This window comes from Homo sapiens, chromosome 1 (assembly GCF_000001405.40).
Source record: "Homo sapiens chromosome 1, GRCh38.p14 Primary Assembly".
In the NCBI taxonomy this organism is placed as follows: domain Eukaryota; kingdom Metazoa; phylum Chordata; class Mammalia; order Primates; family Hominidae; genus Homo; species Homo sapiens.
In genome coordinates, this window is record NC_000001.11 from 214,454,372 (window position 1) to 214,479,544 (window position 25,173).

Sequence of the window (25,173 nt, forward strand, 5' to 3'; positions counted from 1 at the left end):
AAACGGTTAAAATTTTTATTGCTTCTGTGTCTTGAAAGCTATTTTAAATTTCCTTTTCTCATTCCCATCCATCCAGATCATTAAACCAGACCTGACCTCCACCCCAGAAATCCCTCAGAGAAAGAATATTCCATGGAATATATACACACGAACATGTATGTGCACACATACAACACACACAAAATGCACACTACAGCTGCACATACACACACTCCTGTGCATACACACATATGGATATGTTGAGGAGGATGATGAGGTACAAGAGAAATGATAGTAAGGCAATAATCTTGAGCCAGAGCTCTAAATAACAAAGTAAACCACTTCTAATAGAAAAACCTAATTCATGGCATAAATTTATCACTGCTGTTGTACAGCACCTTCCAGAGGACACAGAATATTTCAGGGTGACTCACCAGGTAATTATCCAGTGAAATAATTACATAACTATGGAAGAAACGGGGTGTCCAGTGCAGGGCAGAATTGGGGGAGGCAGGTAATCTGGAGGACAGAGTTTGTATCTACTCACAGCCAGAACATCCTAACTTTAGAACTGTCAAATTCAGTTCTCTAGCAGGAAGAAAAGTCCATCCCCACCCTGATTTTTGAAGCTATGCCCAAAGTAACCTTTTCCATTCCCACCCTACTCCTCCCGTTCTTCCTCTAGCTATTTTCCTACTCTGGAGTAGAAAGACCCTGCCTTGAAAGTCCAATACAGCACATGTTTATTCTCCCACGTCTACACAGTGCCTCACAGGAAATGGAATCAGAGCCTAGGCTCTCATTTCAACTAGCATGTGCACCAATCAACTTCCTGTGTATTATCCAAGGAACTACTAATCCTGTCAAGCCCAGCTGAGACCCCACCAGGCTGGTTTGTGGTTAACTTGCCAATTTAAACTCTAGCTCAATTTTGAAAGCTGAGCTTAGCTGCTAAACATTGCCACATGGTTGAAGAAAGCATGGTGGATGATTGCAAATAGAAACCACCTTCTCCATGACACCAAGAGGATCCCATCATATTACCTGAGTAAATGCCTGAAATATCTGTTCTGTTTATATCTCAGGCACCAAAAGTAAGCCAGACTCATTTAATCCTCATGATACCTCCTCTGGGTGAGGTATGAATCCCATTTTATTGCTCCAGTTTTCTTAAGAAAACTAGAACACACAGCTCTGGTGCCATGAGTTCTGCAATAAGTTTACTGCAATGATGAGAAAAGAAGACAGAAGAGCCAGTCCTCAGACACAAGAACCACATCCCTGAACCACTTACAAAAAATGCACTACGATGAAACCAAGTAGGGAAAGCCACACTAAAATGTCATTTTTATGTGAGCAGCTTCCTCATTTATTTGGTTTGGTGTACTGCATTTTAACACAGGAAACATACATTTAAGCATATACTAAAAAATCGGCTAGTTTCTTCAGTGGCAGGTTGGTGTGTGGATACTACAGCGTCAAAATGTCCATCTTTTGGTATTATGGAAAGATTCTAGAGAATAAGGGCCCTTAAAAGTAGTTTTGAGGGCAGGGGACATTATGGGAACTCTCCGTACCTTTTGCTCAATCTTGCTGTGAAACTAAAACTGCTCTAAAGAAATAAAATCTATTAAAAAGTAGTTTGGGGTGGTTTTTATTTGTTTGTTCATTTATTTGTAAAGAGATGGTATAATCCCCCACCTTAGCTATTAAAAGGGAAATATTTTTTGAGGGTTTTGTTTTTCCAGTTTTGTGACAATGGCACAGACTAATGCTATTTGTAAGAGGTTTAGATGCAGTCTTGGCAATTACCAAGGATTAAAGCCATGATCTTATCTCAAGCATTTTGAAGAGTTACTCATCCAGAAGCAAAAGTTTAAAATATCTTGCATTAAGTTGTAATAGGTTGCCTATCTTACCCAATATTTCAGCTGTAAATTAAGAAATGGTGTGCTTCCACATAAAATATATGAATTACATATTATACAAGCACGAACAGTTTCACTGAGGCATGGAAAATACTTCAAAAGATGACTATAAGCAGACTCTGAAATAGCACTTCATGCAATTACATTCCAATGGCTTTGGAAAATAAGCCACTGTACATCAGTTGGATAACGGTAGAAAAGAACTTGTGTGTAATCAACCTCTACTCTGGGTAGGTCTGAGATTTCTATAACTGACACATCTATAATTAACAACTGCACCCTCTTCATTTTCCTAGCCAATCTCTTTATAAAAGTACATGAAAAGAAAATGCAGAGTAACACAGACCCAAGAAGCAAGTCCCATAGCCAAGAAAAACCACTCTTCTGAGACTGTACGACTCACCTAGAATACACAGAAAGATGAAGACGTACAAGTTAAGACTGGCGAATAGTTCACCCACAATCTCTATACCTAGAAAATGGAGATGCCGGTGCCATTACATTCTAGGATTGACATTAAGCTAATAATGTTTCACACTGTCATTTTTACAAAGACAAAAAGCAACACAAAACTTAAAGATGAGAAATCTCCCCCAGCAGTCTACTCTTCAGTCGATTCTTAATCAGCATTGATTATTTTAATCCTTTGCAAATACACATATATACTGACGTGATTAAACAAGCTATAAAATACAGCAGAATTCCACTATTATCTGCCAGGGCATGAGGTGTTGCATTTAATTGAGTACCCCCCAAATCCCACATAAATTATTAATTGCCAAAAGATTAGCATGAAATCAAACCACAGAAATATTCTTCATGTAAGTTAACTTTTATGTGATAATAGGAAATGCATGTTAAGTTTCTTATCTTTATAATCTCTAGTCATTATGAAAATAGCAAAATGTGGAAAATTTCTACTGTAGTGATAGCTTTGGGTAAAACAGCTTTTAGTAAAGATCAAAATATAAATTTGCAAAAGAAAAAGGGGATAAATTAGAGGATAAGGACTTACTCTTTGAAATGATTATAGTTTGGTTTTTAAAAGCTTTTTTACACTCTTTTAAAAACCAAGGCTCTTAGGCTTAGCCTTAGGAGAGAGCCGAGAGTTATGAAAGTCACCATTCTCCAGAGCGCTGGATTTCCTCACAGCAGTTCTCTACCTCAAATAGGGTTTACCAATGAACTGAAGGGTATCTCAGGTGCCTTTGTTATATCATTTATCCTTCTTCCACTTGTTAAGTTAAAAGTAGAGCCAAGGTTATTCTAGCATATTTTTACATTTTATTAGGATGCTTATACTCACTATTACCATTAAATGCCCCCTTTGCGTTTCTTAGAATAGCACTGTTCAGCAGAAATCAAATGTGAGTTACATATTTAATTTTAAATCTTCTAGAAGCCACATTGATTTAAAAGTACCAAAAGTGAAATTACTTTTAATAAATATTATTTAAAACACGTTCAAAATATCATTGCAACCTGTACTCAAACATACATATAATTAATGAGTATTTTAGTTTTCTCATACTATGTCTTCAAAATCTGATGTGTTTTTACACTTACCACACATTTCAGTTCAAAATAGCCACATTTCACGTGTTCCATAACCACATGTGGCTACCATATTGGACAGCACAACCTTAAATTAATCCTAGCTGTTCGAGGAACTGAAAGACTTTGCTATTTTAACTCAATATAAGATCACAGTTTCATCTATATCTATATCTATATCTATATCTATATCTATATCTATACCTAGAGAGAGAGAGAGAGATAGAGAGAGAGAGACAGAGAGATTCACTCTGTCACCCAGGCTGGAGTGCAGTAGTATGTTAATAGCTCACTGCAGCCTCATTCTCCCGAGCTCAAGGGATCCTCCTGCCTCAGACTCCCAAGTAGCTGGGACTACAGGCATGCATCACCATGCCTGGCTAATTTTTTATTTTTTTTGTAGAGATGGATCTCACTATGTTCTCAGGCTGGTCTTGAACCCCTGAGCTCATGTGACCTTCCATCTTGGCCTCCCAGTGTTAGGACTATAGTTGTGAGCTACCAGGCCTGGCCCCAGTTTCTAATAATTAAAGTCATCTAAAAATGGAACAAGCAGACTTACAAAAGGGTGACAGCCCAGTCTCTGGAAGTGTCATGGCAGAGGCTGGATGGCTTGGGTGGTGTTTTGCAAAGAAGGCAGCCACATCGAGTGCTTCCTATGCCAGGCACTGTGAGACTGTGGCAACTATGAAAAACTAACTCTCTGAATCCTCCCAACAATTTGTAGAGGTGGCTACTATTACCATCTCCATTTTACAGATAAGAAAACTGAGGCACAGGGTACTTCTATTTAAGGTTACATAGCTAGTAAATGGCAGAACCAGGATTCAAACTCAGGCAGTTTGGTCCAAGCTGACATTCCTAGCCACTAAACTCTGCTGTGTTTTCATGTACTTCTTTTTTAAACCGTGAGAATTAGTCATAAGGCACCATTGTTTTAGCTCTTTTTCCCTTAACCTAGGCTAGTTATTTTCAAACTGAGATAGGGCTCCAGATATCCTATCTCCTCTGTAAAAGGCCCAGCTCCATTTACACATCCATGCTCCACCAAAGATTTGCAGAAAAGGGTTAAACCCACTGATGCAGACATATTATAATGACATTATTGGAATTCTGATTTTCTGAGCTTCCTATATCTCTGGAATTGTCTTTGTTAATAGAGCTCCCAAGCAGCAACTTATCCCTGATTTTTCCCTCATCTTTAAAACAATGAAAACACACTTTTCCTAAGCAGTTCATCTCATGACCTCTTGCCAGGTTTACAGTTGTGCCCACTGGCATCTCTGTTCCTCGCCTCCAATCCCCACTCTTTTCTTCTTTTTTTTTTTTTTTGAGACAGAGTCTCACTCTGTCACCCAGGCTGCAGTGCAGTGGCACAATCTCAATCTCGCCTCACTGCAACCTCCACCTCCCAGATTCAAGCGATTCTCCTGCCTCAGCCTCCTGAGTGGCTGGGATTACAGGCATGCACCACCTTGCCCGGGTAATTTCTGTATTTTTAGTAGAGATGGGGTTTCACTATGTTGGCCAGGCTGGTCTCGAACTCCTGACTTCAGGCGATCTGCCCGCCTCAGCCTCCCAAAGTGCTGGGATTACAGGCATGAGCCACTGTGCCCAGCTGATCCCCACTCTTTTCTTTCTTTTTTTTTTTTTTTTGAGACAGTATCTCACTCTGTCACCAAGCTGGAGTGCAGTGGCGCGATCTTGGTTCACTGCAACCTCCAACTCCCTGGTTCAAGTGATTCTCCTCCCTCAGCCTCCCAAATAGCTGGGATTACAGGCATGTGCCACCACGCCCAGCTAATTTTTGTATTTTAGTAGGGACGGGGTTTCACCATGTTGGCCAGGATGGACTCGATCTCCTGACCTCGTGATCCGCCTGCCTCGGCCTCCCAAAGTGCTGAGATTACAGGCGCAAGCCACCACGCCTGGCCGATCCCCACTCTTTTCTACTACTGAGTGCTACTGAGTTCTTTACCTAACATGCAAGGTAACTATGTCATGCTCCTCCTTGGAGTCCTCTGATGACCTTACACTTCACAGCAATGTTTTATTCCCCACATAGTTCAAAAGAGTATTTTCTGGAAGGCTAAGATAACTGTGAAACACTTACTGGAACACCGTTTTCTTTCTTTTACTACAGAATTGAGGAAAGAATGTTTCCCAAAGCATTTTACCATACTCCCTGCTCCCCCACTACAAGTCTCTGGGAACTGGAACAGTGGCGTCAGCTGCCAGGGTTTGAACCGGCCTCACAACTTACCAGCCCAGTGACTGTGGGCAGGTCACCCTATGCTGCAGCCTCCCCATCTGTAACATAGGAACAGCAAGAGTAGGGACACATCAGACTTGTTATGAGAACTACATGAGCTGATATATGGAAACTGCTCAGCAGAGTATATACAATCAAAAGGTGGTAATTATCCTTTGTAACTTATTTTAGAAATACTATCCTATAGATCTAGTTAAAACTCCCTAGGCAGACACAGCAAACCCTTCAAAAGCAGACTCCATCCTGCCCCTTCCTCCTTTACCCTCCTTCCCTTCCATGACCCTTTCATACACACACATACACAACACACACACACACACATCAGTGCAAACAAACTGAACTCTGCCTTTCCCTGAAAATTCCCCTCCACACACACACAGATCAATGCAAGCCAAACTCTGCCTTTCCCTGAAAATTCCAACACACACACACACACACACACACACACACAGATCAGTGCAAACTGAACTCTGCCTTTCCCTGAAAATTCTAACACACACACACACATACACACACACACATACACACACACACATCAGTGCAAACTGAATTCCGCCTTTCCCTGAAAATTCCATGTTCTTTCCTGTTTCTGTACCGCAGCACAAGCAGTTCCCCTTGCTTTGTTTCTTGTTTGTCCTGTTCTCTAAACTCTAGGAGCAAAGACCCTATCTGGTTTCTGGGAGCAGGGACCCTAGCACATTCAGCTTTCCCAGAGCATGACTGTTTGCTGACAATAGGAACCAGGCCTGGATCCTTCTGAAAGCCATGTTAAATAGCAGCATATCATATTTGTCCAAACCTACAGAATGTACAACACCAAAAGTAAGCCCTAATGTAAACTCCGGACTCTGCATGATAATGATGTGTCAATGTAGGTTCAATAATCATAACAAATGTACCACTCAGGGGGTGATGTTGACAGTGGGGGAGGGTGTACATGCACGGGGCCAGGGGTATATGGAAATTCTCTGTACCTTCCTCTCAATTTTACTGTGAATCTAAAATTGCTCTAAGAAATCAAAGTCTTAAAAGTAAAAATAAAGTATTAAAAATTATCTAATAAAATTTAGTGGCAAAACAATTAATGTAAATAAAAAATTTAATAAAAAAATTTTAATCCACCATACATCCTTTCCTAATATAAAGCTATTACAAAATTTATGATATACCTAAACTACTTCTAATGGCAAAGCCAAATATCCACCATAATCTAGTTTCCAAGACTTCATAAAGGCTAAACATATTACCCTGAGCACAGTGTCTCACATCTATAATCCCAGCACTTTGGGAGGCTGAGGCGGGAGGATCACTCGAGCCCAGGAGTTTGAGACCAGCCTGGGCAATACAGTGAGATCCCATCCGTACAAAAAATTTAAAAATTTGCTGGGCATGTTGGCATGTGCCTGTAGTCTCAGCTACTTGGGAGGCTGAGGTGGGATCACTTGAGCTCAGGAGGTTGAGGCTGTAGTGAGTCATGATCGTACCAGTGCACTCCAGTCTGGGCAATAGAGCAAGATCCTGTCTCAACTGGAAAAAAAAAAAAAGATTAAATATATTTTGGCTGGGTGTGTGGCTCACACCTGTAATCCCAGCACTTTGGGAGACCAAGGCAGGAAGATCACGTGAGCCAGGAGGTGGAGGCTGAATGAGCCATGATCATGCCACTGCACTCCATCTTGTGCAATAGAGTTAGGCCCCAACACCCCTCCCAAAAAAGACTAAACTTTTTGTTATATCTTAGATTGGTTGTCACCTTCTCCTCTAAAGCAGCATCGGCTCTATTTGAAAAATGACCCAAATACAAATTCAAGGTATGAGGAGCAGACCTTGAGTTCACCTCCTCTTACTTCTGCTTTTGGATAGAGGATGCATTCTTCTTTAAGGTGTGTGTGTGCAAAAGAAGAACAAAGTATCAGATTACTCTATCTGATCCTTTAATTCAGGAGTATCTAGAGGACTGATTCCCAAAAGGGCACAACTTCAATGTTATCTGTCATGGAAGGAAAGCATAAAATTCAAAAAGAAAGTGATTTGGTCGAATGCGGATGCACCCATTAGGACGTGTCAAAATAAAGTCAGTATTAAACACAAACCCCACCTCAGCAATGGAATGTCAATCACACTACGGCACACACTTGGCAATGCACTGCTTTATTCTTTGTGATAAGGTAGTTGTGGGATGATCCAGGGTTGACTTTTGCCTTCTCACTGAGAAAACCAATAGTCTGTTGAAAGCCATTATTACCATACACATCTCCACACACCTCCCACCATTTGTTATAAACTCTAGCTTGACCTGGTGATTCAGAGGGATGCCTTCTCAGCCCCCAAAATGTTGGCTGCTCTTTCACATCCTTGGATCTTTGATAATCCAGTCCCCCACACTAAAGATGACATGGCCTTCTTTTCTACCTGCTGGACTGATACATGTCCTTCAAGTTTTGGTTCAGAGTGAAGGCTATGTTCATCTTCCATCAACTCTTTCACTCTCACCAGCAAGACTGCAGTGTTCAGTGGGCTGGATTGCACACTGCACAACACTAAGGACAGCCATCGCCTTTTGGGCCTACCCCTGCATTCTATTTTAGCTTGGACCACATTTGATATTAACTGTTTATTTAAAGGCTGGACTCCCCTATTGTTCTGTGCATGTCTTGAAGGTAAAATTGTACCTTATTTATCTTCATTTCACCAAGTTCTAAAAAAGTGCCTGGCACAAGATGGTTGTTCAATATTTTCTTTAACAAAAAATGGGTTTTTTTTAAGTTGTTTATTAAGACTCTCAAATTTGAACAATTATAAATTATTAAACACAGCACTATACATTTTCCATACAGGAACTCTTTTAATATTTACAACAGCCCTGTGAAGTAAGCATTATTATTGCCATTTTATAGGTAGGAAACTTACGCCTCAAAAGACTCAGTAACTTTTCCATTGTCACCCAGCTAATAAATGACAGAAGAGTAAGCTGAACCCAAGACCAAGAGTCCAGTGCCTATACTTGTAACCACATGCTACACTGTCCCCCGATGCATATGAGGAATAATTAGTTGCTCTAATTTGAGTGACTGGAAGTACTTAAAAGTAAAAATACTAGTTTTCTATAAGAACTTAGACAAGTCTCTTCCCCAATCAGTATTTGTTTTTCCTTTATGCCCATGCATACATGCAAATGTGTGTTTAAATGTGTGTATCCTAATGTGATACCAACGAGAAAAAGAGAGCCAGCTACCCATCAACAAGATGAGAACATTTCACATATTTATTCTACTGTGGCAGTTACCAAGCTACTAATACATATATCCATTGTCCAAGACAGTCTCCTGCACAGAAAAATATACCTAAAAGGAATACCTGATCACTGAAACCAAAGTATAAACACCAAGAACAGCAGGAGACAGATGCATTTCAGGTGAAACAGTTTCCCTGAGAAAAACAGCCAGCCTGTGGAAGACGTCTTTAGAAGGGACTTTCAGAGCAGGAAAGGGGAGAGGAAGACCCTCCTGGGCCCCCATTCCTTTGTAAGCAGGTGGAGAGAGGCCACATGCAATCACTTCCAACAGTGATTGCCACCCCTCTTCTGTCATCGAGGTCCTGGGCAATGCTGTCACTTGGACTCTCCAAGAGCCCAGGGACCTAGGACAATTACCCACAGCTTTTCCTTGCCCTCAGGAATGTCTCAGCCTCAGGGGCTTGCAGTCATTCAGTATTGGCAACCACTCAACCATACCACCTTCCCCACTGCTCAATATGTCAGACAGCTCTCAAGACACAGATGCTGAAGTGTGGATTGCTCACAAAAGTCTCTTGTCCTAAACGTCTGTATGACTGAAAAAAGAAGGGCTTGGCTGTCAAAAACAACATACTGCTCTGAAAGTCCCTTCTAAAGAGTGATAGCATGACTTTCTAAGTGGTCAGCCCTGCTTTTGCTTAAAAGCCATCTCACAGACGGCGTGAAGGCAACGAGGGCTGTGAGGAATCTTAAAAAGAAGAAAACCTCTGTTTTACAGGCTCCCACAAAAAGCCTCACTGGTCATGCTCACTCTAAATGCTTTTTCTCTTTATTCGGTGGGGTTTTTTTTTTTTTAGAGGAAAATATAGAAACAACCAAAAAAAAAAAAAAAAGGCAGCTGCATGCATCCGTATGTGGGCGTTTTTTCTCCTTAATGTGCAGCCAGAATGCCAAAATACCAGCTACCCACTCAATTGTTTTAAAGAGAGAAGATGACTTTGGTGGGGAGAGTCTCTCATTTTCAACTCCCCCAAAACCTCTTCCCCAGCTGAAATAAAAGGAAACCTGCCACGCCATGCAGCTCTAGGCGGTGTTCAAGTCTCCCCATCCAATGATGGATAAGATCACAGCCGTGCTAAGAATAACAGGATTCTTATAAACACATCGTCGCTTAGGCCAAAAAACACAACAGATGCCAAAAAACAGATGGCTGGTCCCTTCGGTGAGTTCTCCTTCACATACCCAACACGCATGCACGCGCACATGCGCACACAGACACACCCCTCTTACCTCTCGCAGCTCCAGCCTCTGGGCCACAGCCTCCAGGCATTCTTGCCCTGTGCTTTCCACCGACAGCGTGCACTCGATAACATTGCTGTCCAGCAGGCGAATCCGTGTGACAAAGCAGTTCTTGCTCAGGACGTTGTAGCGCCGTGTCCGGCGGAGCTTCAGACCAAAAGGCATGGCTATGTGGTCCTCGGACGCCGCCCGCCTATCCTGGCGCACACGCCCCTGAGATGGCCTTAGCAGTTTCGTGACTGGAAAATTACACTATCACCTGTGCTCCTCCAGGCAGGGAAAAGGGTGTCCATGCCCAGTGTGGCCCTCTGGAAGATAGCTGTAAATGCAAAAGAAATGCCATGGTCATGCTCCAGAAGGGACCTATCAATGGTACCATATTCCACACACACAGAAGCCCCCCCCCCCCCCCACCCCGCCAAACAGATCAACACTCAGGTTTGATAAGCTGCAAGTTCTGGAGTTCCTAAGTGTCTTGGCAGAGCCCATGCCCTATGCCTTATCTTACAAGGGTGATACGATAAAAGCTACTTTACAGTTGAAGAAAGGAAGATTCAAAGAGATTAAAGCATTCATTCACAGGTGCACAGTGTAAATGGCAATGCCAGAATTTAAACCAATGTCTACGTAACTTCAGTTCACATGCGTTTTTCACTATGCAATGCTGTCCACTCAAGAAAGTGTTAGGAGGCTGGGCGTGGTGGCTCATGCCTGTAATCCCAGCATTTTGGGAGGTTGAGGCGGAAGGATTACTTAAGCCCAGGAGTCCAAAACCAGCCTGGACAACACAATGAGACCCTGTCTCTACAAAAAAATAAATAAATAAATAAAAATTAGCCAGGCATGATGGCGTGTGCCTGTAGTCCCAGCTACTTGGGAGGCTGAGATGGGAGGATCTCTTGAGCCTGGGAGGCCAAGGCTGCAGTGACCCATGATCATGCCTGCACTCCAGCTTGGGCAACAGAGTAAGATTCTGTCTCAAACAAAAAAAATTAAATTAAATTAAAAAGCCCACTAGGAGTGGAACTTGAACACTGGTGTTTTGTTTTTTAAATTTCTAAATATATTGTCTCATTCCAACTTCATGAACAACCCTATGGTGTCTATTTTACAGATGAAAAAAGTAAGGTTTAATGACTTAAGTGCCTCACTGAATTTAAAATTTGATCTTGTTCCTCCTCACTCTTTGTAACACTGCCTCTTTACTCTTATTAACATTATTTACTTTTATTTTCATGTCTTATGTTTTATTATTTACTTAGAATGAATGATAAAGTGGTGGCAATATGCATTTAATATAATCAGTTACTTCCTTTTTTTTTTTTTTTTTTTTGTGAAGACGGAGTCTCACCTTGTTGCCCAGGCTGGAGTGCAGTGGTGCAATCTTGGCTCAGTGCAACCTCCGCCTCCCAGGTCCAAGAGATTCTCCTGCCTCAGCTTCCCAAGTAGCTGGGATTACAGGCACCCGCCACCACACCTGGCTATTTTTTTAATTTTATTTTTAATAGAGCCGGGGTTTCACCATATTGGCCAGGCTGGTCTTGAACTCCTGAACTCATGTGATCCACCCGCCTTGGCCTCCCAAAGTACTGGGGTTACAAGCGTGAGCCAACGCACCCGGCCAGTTACTTCCTTTTTTTTTTTTCTTTAATGGAAAGACATGAATTATTCAAAGCACTTAAAAATCACAACTCTTTGTCCTTTTTTTAACAAATATTTAGACAGATGTGGGGAACCACCCTACCATCATCTTGTTCCTTTACAAAATCTTGATGCAAAAGTCCTGTAACCAAATCACAGATAATTTAATTTACTATTATAGTAACAAGACTTACTGACACCCTGATGTCCCACCAAATGAAAATGATGACATTATTGCCATGGACAACACAAGAATAAAATAACAACAAAAGTGGCCTTATTGCTCCACCCTGAGCCAGCAATCTTGCTGGGAGGCTCATTAAACTTGTCTTTCAAAGAAGCCAGAAATGTCCAGAAAACTTTTCTGTCCAAATGTTCTGTTCTCCATTAAGCCCAACAGACTATCTCTTGCTCATCTGATTGTTTTGTTAACTTGATTCCCTAACTCAGGCAGATCCACTAGGATTTACACTCTTCATCCATCTGCCGACACAGGATTACCCCCTGAGCCCCAAGACACTTGGATGTACAAATAGGAATAGCTACTACTTGTAGGAATTCTTAAAGTAATAAATAAAATAGCTTCAATATTTATAAACCACTCCCTGCCAGTACTCATGCCTCATGGAGGTTGTCAGGTTATAACCCTGCAACATAGCAAAACACACTCCTCAGCCTCCCACAGCAGGTCTTTGATACTTGCCGTGGGCACATTCCTTAACATGACAGGTATATGTTTTATGACGGCTTAAAATACATATGCTAGAAACTCTGGCTTGGTAAAATATATTAACATTTCTAAATCACTTTATGTTGGCAGAGTATCATGTTTACCTCTAAGGTAAGCCAATCTGATTTCTTGATAGGTACAGAAAAGAATATGAAATGACCCACCCACCCCCAACCCAAAGAAAAACAGTGGGGGGAAGCCAAAATTCAAATAGACAGCCCTTAGATGTTTACTACTCATGAATTCCCCTCAACTTATTAAAGCACAGAACACAAGAGGCCAAGATTCAATTCCTGCATTAACCAGAGAGCCTCAAACAGAGAAAAATATTTGCTCTGTGGGCACAAGCCACATTTCTAACCCTGAGCCAGGCACTTTACATTTGGGTGTGTCTCACTGTAAACACCTAGGAAAGAATGTGGCTGGCTTGGTACGCATTTATCCCAGCAAAAACAATCTCTACTACATATTCTATGGGATATCATTTGCAATGCATAACTAGTGAAATAAAAAGTAAACTTTAAACAACATGTATAGATGATTGGAATTTTTATGATATACAAAAACACAAAGAGGAAAGAATGTAAGTTTGGCAAAATTATTATCTCAGAGCTACTTGATATTAAATAGAATTCTAACCTTAGATATTTCTACATTGTTCTAGCATCTTACAGCTGCCTTATATTATTTTTGTAAATAAAGATTATTTTAAAGTACATTATCTACTGAAAATGGTGTATCAGGAGCGATGGCTTTATATTCATGGCTAGCAGATAATCTGGTAATATATCTCCTAGAAAATACACATTTTGATTTCTAAAAGACTTTTAAAATCTCCAGTTGACAAAAATACTTGCAAGATACGGTATCAACAAAATGTAAGAAAATTGGTCTGGTCCTTTTAAAAGTCAATGTCATGAAACAAAAATTGGGCATGAGGAGGGGGAGGCCGTACAGGCTGCTGTAGAATAAAAGAGATTTAGGAATTATGAAAACAAAATGTAGTGTGTGAACCCTGACTAAATCCAAGTGTGAAAAAAAAAATAGCTGTAAAAGATACAGATAATTAGGGAAGTTTGAAAAACAGAAATTAGATGATATTAATGTATTTTTATTAATTTTCTTCAGATTTTGATAGAATTGTGGTTATGTAGGAGAATAGATGGAATTGTGTTAAGAGATGCCAGTGGATATAGCAGGGGTAAAGAAGTCATGATGCCTGTAACTTGCTTTCCAATGGTTTTTTTGCAAAACCAACACATACGGCTGGGTGCGGTGGCTCACGCCCGTAATCCTAGCACTTTGGGAGGCCAAGGCCAGTGGATCACCTGAGGTCAAGAGTTTGAGACCAGCCTGGCCAACATGGTGAAACCTAGTCTCTACCAAAAATACAAAAATTAGCCAGGCATGGTGGTGTGTGCCTGTAATCCCAGCTACTCGGGAGGCTGAGGCAGGAGAATCACCTGAACCCAGGAGGCAGAGGTTGCAGTGAGCTGAGATGGCACTATTGCACTCCAGCCTGAGCAACAGAGCAAAAACTCTCAAAAACAAAAAAAAGAAAAGAAAAGAAAAACCAACACATACACCATACACACATAAGCACATCTATAAATTCAAAGTTAAAATAAATATACAAAATGTTAACAGTTGTTGAATCTGTGAGTATACAGATACTCACTCTACTGTTCTTTTAGGTTTTCTATATACCTAAAAGTTTTCATAATCAAAAGTTAAAAAGAAGGCAATCCTCAATGCCGATAGTAAACATGCTCATACCTAGTCACTGCTGAATTTAAATGATGCTGCCTCTTTCTATGGACTTCTCTGATCCTTAATATCACAGGTAATCTTTTCTGTCTGAATTCCCACAGCCATTGGTGCTTATTTTAATACACTAATCTAGCTTATGTTAAAAATATCAGCACACTTTGACACTAAACTTCCTCAGAGCTAGAAACACATTTTTTTCACCTCTAACACACACATCATTTACCTACATTAAAAGCTCATGACATTTTCACCCAGAATTTGCACAGCCACAGAGCCATGCTTCTGGAAAGAACTTTCAGGCACTCATTTAAGGCATCTCTTACCTTTAGGAAAGGCTACACCTAAATTATTCCAGGTAAACAATCTGCTTGACACTAATCTATAACAATAGGATTAGAGAAGAAGATCTCTTAGTCCCTTTCATTTCAACATTTTTATATTCTATGAATTTATCCACTACTTTTAAGCTCTCAAAAAAGCCATTGCACATATGTTAAAATTCCATCTTTTAGCCATTCACACAGGCGTAGAGTTCCACCTCAAACTCAGCTCCCTCCTATATTTTATGTCCAATAGGAATACCTCTGCTTTGTCATTAGAGCAGGGAGCAAAATATCCACTATAAAATGGACTTGATGTGAAATCCACTCTAAGCATCTCCTTTCTGTTAAATAGTCTGGCTCCTGGAACCTTTCCAACTTTCCCCATGTGGCTCTCTGGGGCCCCATCATATTCATTTTATCACACATACATTATAAAATCTGGAACTAAATGCCACATGCTCATAGAAAGGTCACAGGTTTAGACACTTTAGATTTTCCTAATAAAAACTGTTTTTCAAAAGAGATAAAAGTATAGAGCCCTCATTATATTTACTGTAATTTTTTTTTTTAAGAGAAAGGTCCATTAAAAATAAAAAGTCAGAGTGAGCCCTAATGGAAACTATGGACTTTGGGTGCTAGAGATGGGTCAATTTAGGTTCAATAATTGTAACCAAGGAACCACTCTAGTAGGGGGATGGTGATAGTGGGGGCGCATGGGGAAAGGCGGGGGTATGTGGGAAATCTTTAAGACTTCCTTTCAATTTTTCTGTGAACCTAAAAGTGCTCCCAAAAATCGAGTCTATTTTTAAAAAATAAACAGAAATAAGTTACTTAATATATAGTTTTATTGATCTATTCTTTAAGAACATATCTAATAAATACTACAAAGCTGCAACTCTTGCTGAGACCCATTTATAGAAATTAAAGAAACTATACATATCTGGGAGGCCAAAGTGGGAGGGTCACTTGAGTCCACGAATTCAAGAACAGCCTGGGCAAAATAGCGAGACTTTGACCCTACAAAATAAAAAATAAAAATAGCTGGACATGGTTTTGTGCACCTGTAGTCTCAGCTACTTGGGAGGCTGAGGCAGGAGGATCACTTGAGCCCAGGAATTTGAGACTGCAGTGAGCTATAATCATGCCACTGCACTCCAGCTAGGCAATACAGCAAGACTCTATTTCTAAGTAAAATATAGATCATAAAGCTAACAATGCTGACTCCTAATTTTTTTCAATACTGTGATTTTTTTCTAATTTCAAAACAATCTTCTAACCCTCTTTTTCCTAGGCGCATCTTATAAAGAAAAGTAGCCTGGGACACTATTGGGGTAATGGTTACACTAAAAGCCCAGACTTCACCATTATGCAATATAGCCACGTAAAAACACTGCACTTGGCCAGGCACGGTGACTCAGGCCTGTAATCCCAACACTTTTGGAGGCCGGGGCGAGTGGATCACTTGAGATCAGGAGTTCAGGACCAGCCTGGCCAATATGGTAAAACCCCATCGCTACTAAAAATACAAAAAATTAGCCGGGTGTGGTGGCAGATGCCCGTAATCCCAGCTACTCGGGAGGCTGAGGCAGGAGAGTCACTTGAACTCAGGAAGCAGAGGTTGCAGTGAGCCGAGATCGTGCCACTGCACTCCAGCCTGGGCAATAAGAGTGAAATTCCATCTCAAAAAAAAAAAAAAAAACTGCACTTGAGTGCCCAACCGGGCCAACATGGCGAAACCCCATCTCTACTAAAAAAAATATATATATATAAAAATTAGCCGGGCATGGTGGCAGGTGCCTGTAATCCCAGCTACTCGGGAGGCTGACACAGGAGAATCACTTGAACCTGGGAGGCAGAGGTTTCAGTGAACCAAGATCACACCACGGCACTCCAGCCTGGGTGACAAGAGCAAAATTCCATCTCAAAAAAAAAAAAAACAAAACAAAAAAACAACTACACTTGAACCCCCTAAATCTTTTTTTTTTTTTTAAAGACTTAGACTTTCACCTTTCCGTGATGAAAGTAATTTGGAATACAAAGTACAGGGGGAATGACAGGGAAAGTGCAGTAAACCCTGGACTCTTCAACTTCTAGGGTCTTTGTCTCAGTAAAGCAACTGGAAACCGAAAACTAAAGACTAAAGAAAGGGAAAAATACTCACTCGACTGAAGTTGAGCTGAGGGGTTCTAAGAACCAAGGTTTACTATTAGGGATAGGAACATGCACAAACTTTCATGCAAGTACTGGCTTTAACCAGAGAGGGGCAGAATGAATGGCAAAGTACTTATCCTCTTTTAGCCTCAGTCTACTCACTTATGAAGTTAATACATACCCTACCTATTTGTGAGAAGTAAATGAGAAAACAGTGCTAGTGAGCACTCAGAAAGTGTGGACAAGTTCCCTTCCTACTCTTCTCATAGTTTCAGAGTATGCTAGGTTTGCTCAAAGCATGGCCAAGCAGTTGTGCAAAGAGGAAATTGAGTACTTGACCTACTGTAGAGAAAGTCTTTTAAAAGGTTAAAAATGAAGGTGGGGGGTGAGGTGGCAAAGCATAGAGTTTAACATGAAGCTATGACAATCCCATGGAAAAACTGACCGAGTAGAATGCTGAATCATGCATTCTCTTAGTCCAACCACGGCTACCTGGTTATCCCACAAACTCAGACACCTGAAGCATAAAGGAGAGAATCTTAGACTAAATGTCCTCTGAAGAGCCCATCCTGGGTGGGAAGAAGATTTCTTATTCTAGCCAACAGCATGTGTATATCATCCAGTGTTGCCCATTGTTCTTTTTTTCCCCAGGGGAAATTGATATGACATTCCCTTGGTCTTATAAAATCCATGAGGCCATGTCTCTACAGCTCCTGGTGTATCACAGAGTCTCTCATCCTACAATCACTCTCAGGTGTGTCTCACCTCCCCAGTCAGAGTCCTGAAGGGAAAGACCTGTGTGGGCGTCAGCTTTGTAACCTTCTATAATCATAACATGGAGCTTTATACATGGCAGGAAGTGAAATAAATGTTTCTCATTGATATGGTTTGAATATATGTCCTCACCAAATCACATGTTGAATTGTAATCCCCGATATCAGAGGTGTTCAGGTCATAGGGGTGGATCCCTTCTGGCTTGGTGCTATCCTCAGGATACTGAGTTCTCCCGAGATCTAGTTGTTGTAAAGTCTAGCACCTCCCCTGACCCCGCTCGCTCTCTTGCCCCCTCCTCTCCTGCCATATGCGATGCCTGCTCCCCTCCTTCACCTTCCACCATGATTGAAAGCTCCCTGAGGCCCTCACCAGAAGCAGAGCAGATGCTGGTGCCATGCTTCCTGTACAGCCTGCAGAAGCATGAGCCAATTCAATCCCTTTTCTTGTAAGTTACCCAGTCTCAGGTATTTCTTCATAGCCATGCAAGAACAGACTAACACAGTCATTATGAAGAAAGAATGAATCCTGAGATCACTAGCTTTTTGACATTAAGGCAGGGCAGGAGTCTCCAGCATGACCTCAGTGACTCTTCAAATCATTTAAGGAATCTGGAACCTTAGATGGGTCTGAATTCTGGCTTCTTAAGAGAGGGTTAAGCTACAGAGAAAAGGGATGAGAGTTAAGTTATTCCACTGACTCATGCTTTTTCAGGGGAAAAAATTGAACTTGGGTTTCCAAAAGAACATTCCCACCACCCAAGTTTTCCTTTTCTAGCCCCTGATCTGTCTTATACTGGGGGTATTCTCACAGACAGAGATTGCAGATCCAGACACGTTCCTTGCAACAAATACAATGGAACTACTGAGATGATAAAAAGTGTTGTAGTGTGCCCATGCTTGCTGAAAGCAATTCGTTGAGATATTTGCTCTGTAAACATCACATCTTAAAGGTCTTTTATATAGAATAGGCTACATTGCAAGAGAACATACAGAAAACCTTCAGGCACTTCTAAAATTCACTTCTGAGTAGTCAATCAGCTTCCTAAGCTCTAAAGTGTAAGTTTCGATCTTTACCTATTAACTGTGGATTTCCAGTATTTTGTTCTCTCATTTTTAATTAAAAAAAATTTCAAAGTTAAAAACACAAAGCAAAGAAAGACAGCTTTCTCACAATTTAGAAAAGGTCATTTGGCAGAGCAAGTAAATCTTTAAATATGATGGATAAGCAGAGGAGAGATCTTTCACAAATATCAACCAAATGCAGCGTATTCCTCTTTATTGAATTACCAGCACAGTCTGTGTTTAGTCTTTTATTGAATTACCTGCACAGGCAAATGAAAGACAGAAGTTCAAATCCAAATCCTAAACATGGTCACCGCACTTTCTTTTTAGTTCCCATGCTATGCTATGTATACTTAACTCTTTATTTTTTTTCTTAAAGATAAGTTCTGAAATCACCAAAAGAAGCTAACTGCTATTCAATTGCATCCTATATTTACCAACAGTCTTTGGAATTTCTCCAGCATTCCATACTATTACAACTCCCAAGGACATCTCACAGAGCTATGTAATCTTGGTGAGGGTGTAAGAAAGGAAAAACTGATGCAACTAGTCTGTGCTGTGTATAAACCTGCATAGGGCACAGCTCAGTTTTGATAGTACTAGGTCATTTTCCTAAGGAAAGGCTAAAAGAAGGGATGAGGTGGGAGGGGATGGGAAATAAAAGAATACTAAAAATGTCTACTCTTATTTTCCTTTAAAGGAAGGCAGAAAGGAAATTAGTTTTGTGCAGTGCAAATGAGATTATTAGTTTCTTCTATCAATCAGTTTTAGAGCTGTACAGTACCCAAATCATATCCATACATCAAATTATTTTTAGCCAAGTAAAGCTTTTTCTGCAAAGTTTAAAACACAAGCCCCTGACTTTAGTTGCTAATGAAAATAACATCAACAACAAAAACTGTAAAAAGCACATTTTAAGATTCCATTATTTCCCTCCTAACTCACTTTTAGTCAGTGGTGAGATGGAAACTTGTCCTAAAACACATTTTCCATCTCTCTTACGCACTAACCACGTAAATGACCTTTCAAGCCTTTCTAAAGCTGTATGTGAAATTGGAAAACAAAGATTCCTACTGTGTTATAATTCATTACAGTAATACCTCACCTATATGAAACATGGCTACACAGCAACCTGATCTATGTAGAACACAGCCAAAAACCAAGAAATGGAGCCAAAACATCCTTTGAGCAGTTGAGTATCACCAAATCCTTAATTCCAACATCATACACTTTGCTCAGGAAACAAAAGAACACCCTCAGTTCATTTACTCTGACTTTAAGTACAGTTCTTTACAAGTTCCTTGACCTGACTTCTCAGCCCTTAACAGATTTCAAAGAGACAAGGGGCTGTCATTACAGACAAGCACATTGACATAGGATAAAAAATGGCAACAAGGGAGGTGACACGTAAATGATTAACATACACACTCCACAGCATACAAATCGGTGTCCAAAACTCCCTGTAGTAAATAGGAACAATTAAATAGTACCCAGCATAATCTGTTTAAGAAGGAAGAAAATAAATACATTTTTAAGTAAGTCCCATCCATGGTGGTTAAAAAGCCTCCATAACCCGGAAGCACTTTCCCCAAAGAGGTGGTTCTCTATCTTGTACATCTCTAACACTTTCTGTGAACTCTTGGAATAAGGGGGTGGCTTCAGCAGGCAATCTTCTAGGAGGACAAGTTAGTCTGAAAAAGCTCCCCTGGTTATTGTTTAAAAAGATCATTTCTCCACCCCCTGCTTTAAGGATTACTGTCTTGAGATTTCCAGAGAGACATGATTTTCCCACAGGAAGCAACTTAGAACATGCAGGTTTTCATTTTTGACCTTAGCGAAACTTTCCTCTGAAGGCATTCTAAGTACATCTTGAATACTTATGGATAAAATAATGTTGTCTGGGATTTGCTTAAAAAATCACGAGGGTTTGGGAACTGAGTAGGGCTGCAGATGAGGCACCACTATGAGTTGACAGTTCTTGAAGGTGGGAGACAGGTATGTCAGGGGTCTCACCATTCTCTACAGCTTTGTATGTGCCTAAAATTTCCATAATAATAAGCTGGAGCTTGTAAAACAAAAAAATTTACTAAATGATACTTTTTAAAGTAACCTGGTAAAACAGATAACAGTGCTCACTAAAAAGGGTCAGAATTTTCCCTCCAAACTAACTCCTTTGTCCTTCCAAAACAGAACTTGGATTTCACTAGATAAAACCAAAAGCAATAGTTTTTCCCTTCCTTATTAAAAGGCAGTAGGAAAAATTCTTTCTGTAAGTAAAATGACAAGTTCTTTAAAATATAAAGAACCATCAATTGGGCATAAAATAAAGGACTCTTCCTGGTCCAGCTTGCATAATCAATTCCATCAGAAGAATACCTGACTCTGGTTTACTCTCAAATGAGCTTTGTCTAGTCACGCCAGGAATGCTTTGTTGTAAGACACCCCACCCTTCTTTGGGAGATGTGCATTCTGCAACTCTTCAATTCCACTTCTTTTTGCTGTCAGTATCTATATCCACAATGATGTATGTCCTGGAATGTCAGAGCTTATTACACCTAAAAATCAGAATGGGAAATTCCCCATAATCAGCACCGCCATTTGTGAAGCAGACACATTGATGGGGGCACTCTGCTGAGCACAATCTCAACACCCCTACGACAACAGGGCTTCTCTTACTATATCACCCCATTTTACACACTAAGGACTGAGGCTAAAGAGAGGAAATAACTTCCCCCCACGATCACTCAGTGACTAAAGACAATCAAGTTCAAACCCAGAGCTCCATCTGAACCCATGTTCTTACCCAATGAACCATGCTGATATGACGCAGAAAGAGGGTTATCAGCTATGACCTTATGATATAAAAGTAACAATGACAATAGCAAGCACCCACATTCTACAAAAAACAACTATGACATACCATCAGCAGTTTATCTTTGCTCACCCACAGCGGACATTACTCAGACATGGTGGAGGGGGCCCTGAGGCTGGGACCCAATTTCAGCCCAAGGAAGCTCTATCCAGAAGGCATGGTGGCAGAATCAGGGTCCCATCCCAGCCATAGCACCCTGCCAGAGCCTCTTACCTAGATGGCCTATTCTACTGTACCACTGTGTTGTGGAATGAGAGAACCTGAGCATGTCGCATAGAACCTCTTCAAAAACCAATTTGAAAAACACAATCACAAAAGCAAATGGAAAGGTTTTCCAGCCAGGGCAGATGACTCACTCATCAAATCAAAAGAAACTCACTGAGGATAAACATACCTTGAGCTTGCTTCGCTCTTTTCCGGAGAGGTGCGCCCTGCAGGGACAGAAGTAGCCAAGAAAGAAGGGCTCTCCTGGAGAGACAGTTGTTGCTTGTGACCTCCCTCAGCAAAGCTTTCCACACCTTCCTTTCCCCCGTTTCCTTCCTCCCATGCCTGAGTGAGTTCCCTCAACTTCTCTCCCATGTCCAGGGTGTCACTTCCTATCCAAACAGTGAGCAGCAGCTAAGCCACTCTGCCAGCTCTCTCCATCTGGGTCTGAGCATCCAGCACTGAGCTTCCCTGGGAATGTCGCCTCATTCACCAGTTTCTCCAGCCCCACCAGCAAGCCTCACCCAGAAGCAGTCATTTCCATGCCTAAGCCACTTACACACTGCATAACCATGGGTCCGAAGCTGGCTCGCTCCCTGCATTTCTAACATGGGGATGAAAACAGTCCCCACCACCTAGAGTTGTTGGGAGGGTTATGAGTTAATAATCTATAAATTCCTGGCACATGGTAAGCATTGGTTATGTGTTTGCTATCACCGCCATTATTATCCTTGCTACTTCACGGAATACTGCAGGAAACCCAAGGAAACACAATGACTGCTAAATACCACAGCTGTAAAAATGTTTTCCCAACAAGCCAATTGTTACAGAGCAGAGAATTTTTAAAGTTAAGGCTGTTCATCACTAAGAGAAAAAATATGAAACCAAAACATGCAACTACAGGTCCCACTGACTGGAAACCGCAACAGGGTGCCCAGTGGGTTTCAGATATGTGACCACTCCAGTGAATCAGTACAACCAAGTGGATTCTAGTGTATAACGCAATCACTTCTCCAGAGCCAAGAAGCTGAATCAGAGGGGAGAAAGAATGAAAACAGGTATGAACTAGTATCAGCTGTTAAAGAGTTGTATAATCCCAACTGATGTAACCAAATGTTAATTACTAACAGGGAAAAACAAAGCTTCTAAACAGACATGGTCGTGCTGCTCATTAAAGGTATACTGCGGCCACACATGCACGTACATGCACCACAAACCCATTACAATTGTTCTTTCTTCTCTCTGTCCCCTGCCTTGTAAAGACACACAACACACACATACCCCACACTACTTAAGTGGACACTTGGAACAACTTATGTTGTACTAAGTAGCTCTCAGTGATATTACAAAGAAAAAGAACCTGTCTAATGCTAACACAGTAACTTTACTGTTGTAAAAATAATTTGTTAGCATACTATCATTCCTGTTACCATCGGTGACCTCAAAACAAGATTTGTTCAGCTGCTTGCATCCGTGCTGAGCAAGCCTGGGCCTCTAGAGATGAGATACTGCATGTGGGGATGGCTCTTCCCCTGTCTGCAACCCTGTAGGGTGTAAGCACACTAAGGAACAAGAGGGCAAAAGTCAGGTGCTTCAGTTTTCAAGTGGGACTCTTAGCTCTTAAAAACTGCAAGACTTAACTATGTACAATTTCTAACAAATTTGTATCTAATAAATACAGCAAATACTGTACAGAGTAAACCTAATTCAAGAGACTCCTTTTGCTCTTCTGATTTATGTTTCAGAATGCTAAGGATTTCAAACCTCCCTAGGAATAAACACCATTTACTAAAATTGTTGTACATAAGCAAAGAAATCCACAGAAAAATACATGCGTACTTCTTCTTCAATTAGATTATAAAAGGGCAGAAACCAACAAAGTTTTATATATTATTTGCACCCCAAATCCCTTTGCACTATAATTAGCACTGACTCTGAACTCAGCAGTGTCACTCTAGGGAAACTTTCATTGGAAATAAAAGCAATGAATCTTAAAAATTCTGTATAAGGATGCTGCATTCAACGTCATTTGTAGTAGAGGGTGGCAATTTGTAACAACCTGAGTATCCATAATACATAGTTCAAGTACATTTTGGCATATCTACATTATTTAGGCTATTCTGCAGTTATTAAAAATGAGTTCAATCTATATTAGCTCTGAACAATGCTCATGATGTGTTACTAAGTAGGAAAAGTTGCAGAGTAATATATAAGGCAAAACCAAAGCAAATAAACCAGTTACCTTGTGTATGTTTAGGTTTATATGAGCTTGGAGAAAACCAGGGAGTATTTCCATACTCAGAGATATAAGAGGAGGAACAGAGAAGAAACATCTACTTTCTCTTACACAATCTTTGGATTATCACCATTGTATTTGGAAAAAAAACAAAAAACAAAAAAACCTTAATCACCTAACATATGTCCCTCCTAAATACTATATGTAAGAAAATTTGGAAGAAGGGTTCCTTCAGTAGAACACTCATGATTCATTGATCGTTTCAGCTATAATAGCCTTTAAATGATTACTATGTGCCAGGAAGTGTGCTAAAGACTTTTACGTGTATTTTCTCATTTATCTTCACACGTCCAATTTACAGATAAGGAAACTGAGGCTACATAACCTGGCCAAAGTTCCAGAGCTAGCAGGTGGCAAAGGCTGGCTCCAAAGCTCAATCTTTCACCATTAGGTTATACCATAAGATGTACATTTACATAATAAAATAAGTAACAATAGTCAATTATTTATTAATAAATACTATTTAGAGCACTCTCCCATTATCACATGGCTTTCAGCACCATATACAATCATACATTGACTAAATACAAAATGTACAAAATAGTACATTTTGCTTAAAAAAAAAAAAGGATCAAGCATTCCTTTTTAAAATCAGAATTTTTTGGTCTGGCACAGTGGCTCATGCCTGTAATCTTGGCACTTTGGGAGATCGAGGTGGAATGATCACTAGAGTCCAGGAGTTTGTGACCAGCCTGGTCAACAAAGCAAGACCCACATCTCTACAAAAAATTTAAAAATTAACTGAATGTGGTGGTGCATGCATGTAGTCTCAGCTACTCAGGAGGCTGAGGCAGGAGGATTGCTTGAGCCTAGGAGTTCAAGGCTGCAGTGAGCTATTGCATCACTGCCCTCCAACTGGGGCAACAGAGCAAAACCCTGTCTTTTTTTTTTTTTTTTGAGATGGAGTCTCGCTCTGTCGCCCAGGCTGGAGTGCAATGGCGTGATCTTGGCTCACTGCAACCTCTGCCTCCCAGGTTCAAACGATTCTCCTGCCTCAGTCTCCCAAGTAGCTGGGATTACAGGCGCCCACCACCAAGCCCGGCTAATTTTTGTATTTTTAGTGGAGATAGGGTTTCACCATGTT

At 40.7% G+C, this 25,173-nt stretch overlaps 1 protein-coding gene across 6 annotated transcripts in view; it reads right to left on the bottom strand.

The window, feature by feature from the left end:
• The window catches only part of PTPN14 (protein tyrosine phosphatase non-receptor type 14), a 202,903-nt gene that overhangs the window by 105,672 nt on the left and 72,058 nt on the right, over nucleotides 1–25,173 (bottom strand). For 5 of the 6 annotated variants that reach the window (NM_005401.5, XM_017001941.2, XM_024448759.2 and 2 more), the window contains one exon: nucleotides 10,259–10,586. In NM_005401.5, coding sequence (NP_005392.2) covers nucleotides 10,259–10,432 — 174 coding nt within the window. In that variant the 5' untranslated portion in view covers nucleotides 10,433–10,586. Of the gene's footprint in view, nucleotides 1–10,258; nucleotides 10,587–21,983; nucleotides 22,400–25,173 lie in introns of those variants that run through there. The other variant, XM_047426374.1, reaches the window with a different exon arrangement.